We start from the raw sequence: 3,237 nt of genomic DNA on the forward strand, positions 1-3,237 counted from the left end.
GCATTGGCATTCAAAAAAGTATTCTTATTTTTAATAAGACTTATCCTGCCTCAAAGACGCTAGTAAACAGCAACTATATTTTACCATTGAAATGACTGCTGTCAAAATATTAAATTAGTTATAAAACAGTCCAGCTACTGGGAACATAAATATCAGGTCTGTTGTACCCCAAAGATTAGCAAGGTACAAAAGAGAATGGAAAACATCAACATTCAAATGTATTTGCCATGGATGGAAGGCTCATTTAGAAAATGATAAATTCTTCCCCCTTGTGAGCCAAACACCAGCTGTAGGGGCAATGGAAATTAAATTTCACATTCAGTTTTATATTCAAAGACGGTAACAATGAAAATCAAATTCCGGATCCACAAATAGGTGAGGTAAGTCAGGCAAAGTGATTGCAGAATAATACATTCTGCTGTCCATTTTCAGGATTTTGCCCCAGGAGCATTTAGAATAGTTCTTATACATCACATAGGTGCTTAATACCTACTTGTCAACTGAATGAAGGAAAAAAGTCATCATGGCTGATCTATGTATTTGAATGGATGAAGAGAGAGAGAGACTTCAATATACAGATGAACCATACATATCACATAATTTTACCTTAGCTGCATCTTTGAAGAGCATGAAGAGAGGATAATACACTTTTCATGTGTTTAGTTTTATTCTTAACTGAAAGAGACATAAGTTGCTTCAACTCATTAAAGAGTCTAAACATGTCAAAAATCACTTCCGATAAAAATTTCTGTTCAAAATAAAATTTCTTTAGGAGTAATAACTGGAGGCTGAATCTATGAACTGTAACCATTTATGTAAATTGACCAGATTATTTAAGTTGACAAGATATTTTGGTAGAGAAGGAAAAGAGGAATGCAAAACAGCAAGTTGCGGCCTTTTCCAGTCTGTTCCCTTATAACAGTAGAGGCCACTACTGAGCGTGGTCTTCTGAAAGTACTCAGCGCTAATTCAACGCAGTCACCATTGCTCGTCTTTTCTTTCATGGGGACTGAATAGTAAGATTTACCATGTATTTCAAGTTGGGCTAGCTGCTTCATAGAAATATGTGACAGAATGCATAAAAGATCATGTCACTCTCTTAAATCCATTCATTGGCCTCTTGTGTCCTCAGAATAAAATCTTACATTCTTCATAGTGACTTCCAAGACTCTCTCAGAATCTCCCCACCCCTGATTTATTACACTACATCATTTTCTGTCATTTTCTCTCTTAATCACATCTTCAGTCAATATGTTTTGCTCATAATATTTGGTTCCATTTCTTTTTGCTTATCACCATTTATAACCATGGATCCATAGGTATGTTTATTTGTTCAGTGCCTTTTCTTCCATTTGACCAGGAAGACAAATGATTTAGAATGTGTGCTTGTTAAATAAATGAAGGAATAACTCTCAACTTCAAGGACACTTGGAATGTTTTTGGGGGTTAAAACTATAAGCATGAAGCAGAGAATTATACAAAAGAAGAATATAAAATATGCAACATTCTCTGACCATATTGTATTATTGTGAGCGATCTACAGCAGAGTCTTTGGAGAAGGTCTGGGTGGGCATTAGACCTGAATGGGTATTTTAAAAACTGATGGAGAGAGGTTGTTTAAATTGGGAAATGACATGGGTAAAAGCTCAGACGTAGGAAAGATAATTGCCTGTGAGGGAGCCAGTAGGGGAAGGAGAGTCGACCAAAACAGAGAAAATAGATTTGACCAGGTCAACATTTGAGGTGTCAGAGCACTTATGTCAGATGACGCTCCTGAGCCCTGACTTTGCCCAGGATGTGAACTTCAGCACAGGCATGATGGGGTACAAGTTGTACACAATTACCAGAACTTTATGAACTCCTCTGAGTAATGCACTCAAGACACCATAAGCTAATAAAAATGTGAGAGCAGCTGAGGCCAGGGCCTCTCAGACAATGGGAGAGCCCTCAGCCAACTCTTTTTTTTTAGATTCATTGTGTAATAAAAACTAAAAAAATACAAATAATCTTACAAAAATTTTGATATATTTTGCTATGCTCATTTAACATAAAACAGTACCAAAAATTTGCAATGTAGTGTAATTGTGCTAGTCACAAAATAGGAGATTTTGGAAAAAAAGAATACACTATTGAGGATGCAGTTTAAAATAAAATAAAAGCTTAAATTTGTATAATGAACATCTTTGTATAGCGTCAACCGAAGAATACTTTAAAAGTCTGAATTCGAGGCTGCACTATTTGCGTGTGCCTGGCACTGTCCATGGTGCTGAGCATAGCACGAGGAGCAAGGAGGAGGCTCCTCACAGAGCTTATGGGCTGACTGGAAGAGAGGTGGGCCTCCTCTTGGAACTTATGAAGTCATTCAAGGCCCAGTAACCAACACTGAACTAGAAAGAAAGTGGTCAAACTTTAATAAATGTTGGAGGAAAAAAACCATTAAAAATGTAAATCAAAGTGGCTCTATGGTAGGCTAGGGCTGTTGATAAAAAATGGCAGTATTAGAAGAGAGACTTATGGGCACAGATTATAAGTCAGGTTATATATTAATATGAGTTTAGGGTGATGGTAAGGTAAACAAGTGAGAAACTACTTAAGGTTTTAAACATATGAAACTAAAGAATAATGGGCAGACGAGAGCTGGGGTTACCACGTGAGAGTTCTAGTTGGGAAAATAATTACAGGTGCAAAAAAGGGCATGGGGGACAGATTTGGCATGAGGATTTTAAAAAGAATTAAACACAGTGCTCATATTTATCTTAATTCTTCCCCTTCTCCTAAAAAAGAAACAGAACCTCAGTTAAGGATGAACTAAATCATAAATTGAGACTGCATGTAGGTAACACTGGAATCACAAAAAAAAAAAAGAAAAAAAAATGGAGTCAATGATGGCTACACTGAGACGTTTCCCAAAAGTTCACTTTCAGTCTTCACCAAGCCCAGGGCCTCCACTCCTCTTCCCCTACATGACTCTCCTCTGGCTGAAGTCAATGTGGCTAGTTCCTCCCTGCAGCTGTATGCTTGCTAAGAATAGTTTGATCACTGTGTGCATATGTTGAGAAATAGCTACAGAGACAATTAGCAATTTAGTGTTTTGGATTAAATATTGCCCTATTTTCTCAGTTATCTTTTCAAAAGTAAATACTCCTTGATGTTGAGATATACTAAGTGATTAACATCTTGGTGGAAATTAACTTTTCAGTTTTTTTTTTTTAATTTTAAAGTATTTAATTGACAAAT

The 3,237-nt window shown here is 36.5% G+C and overlaps 1 annotated feature.

The window, feature by feature from the left end:
* Positions 2,171 to 2,371: a silencer, noted in NCBI's record as "peak7023 fragment used in MPRA reporter construct". NCBI's record gives its function as "represses an SCP1 promoter by STARR-seq MPRAs in K562 erythroleukemia cells {active_cell/tissue: K562}" and the evidence as "EXISTENCE:reporter gene assay evidence [ECO:0000049][PMID:32103011]".

Source organism: Homo sapiens, chromosome 8, assembly GCF_000001405.40.
Source record: "Homo sapiens chromosome 8, GRCh38.p14 Primary Assembly".
NCBI classification, from domain to species: domain Eukaryota; kingdom Metazoa; phylum Chordata; class Mammalia; order Primates; family Hominidae; genus Homo; species Homo sapiens.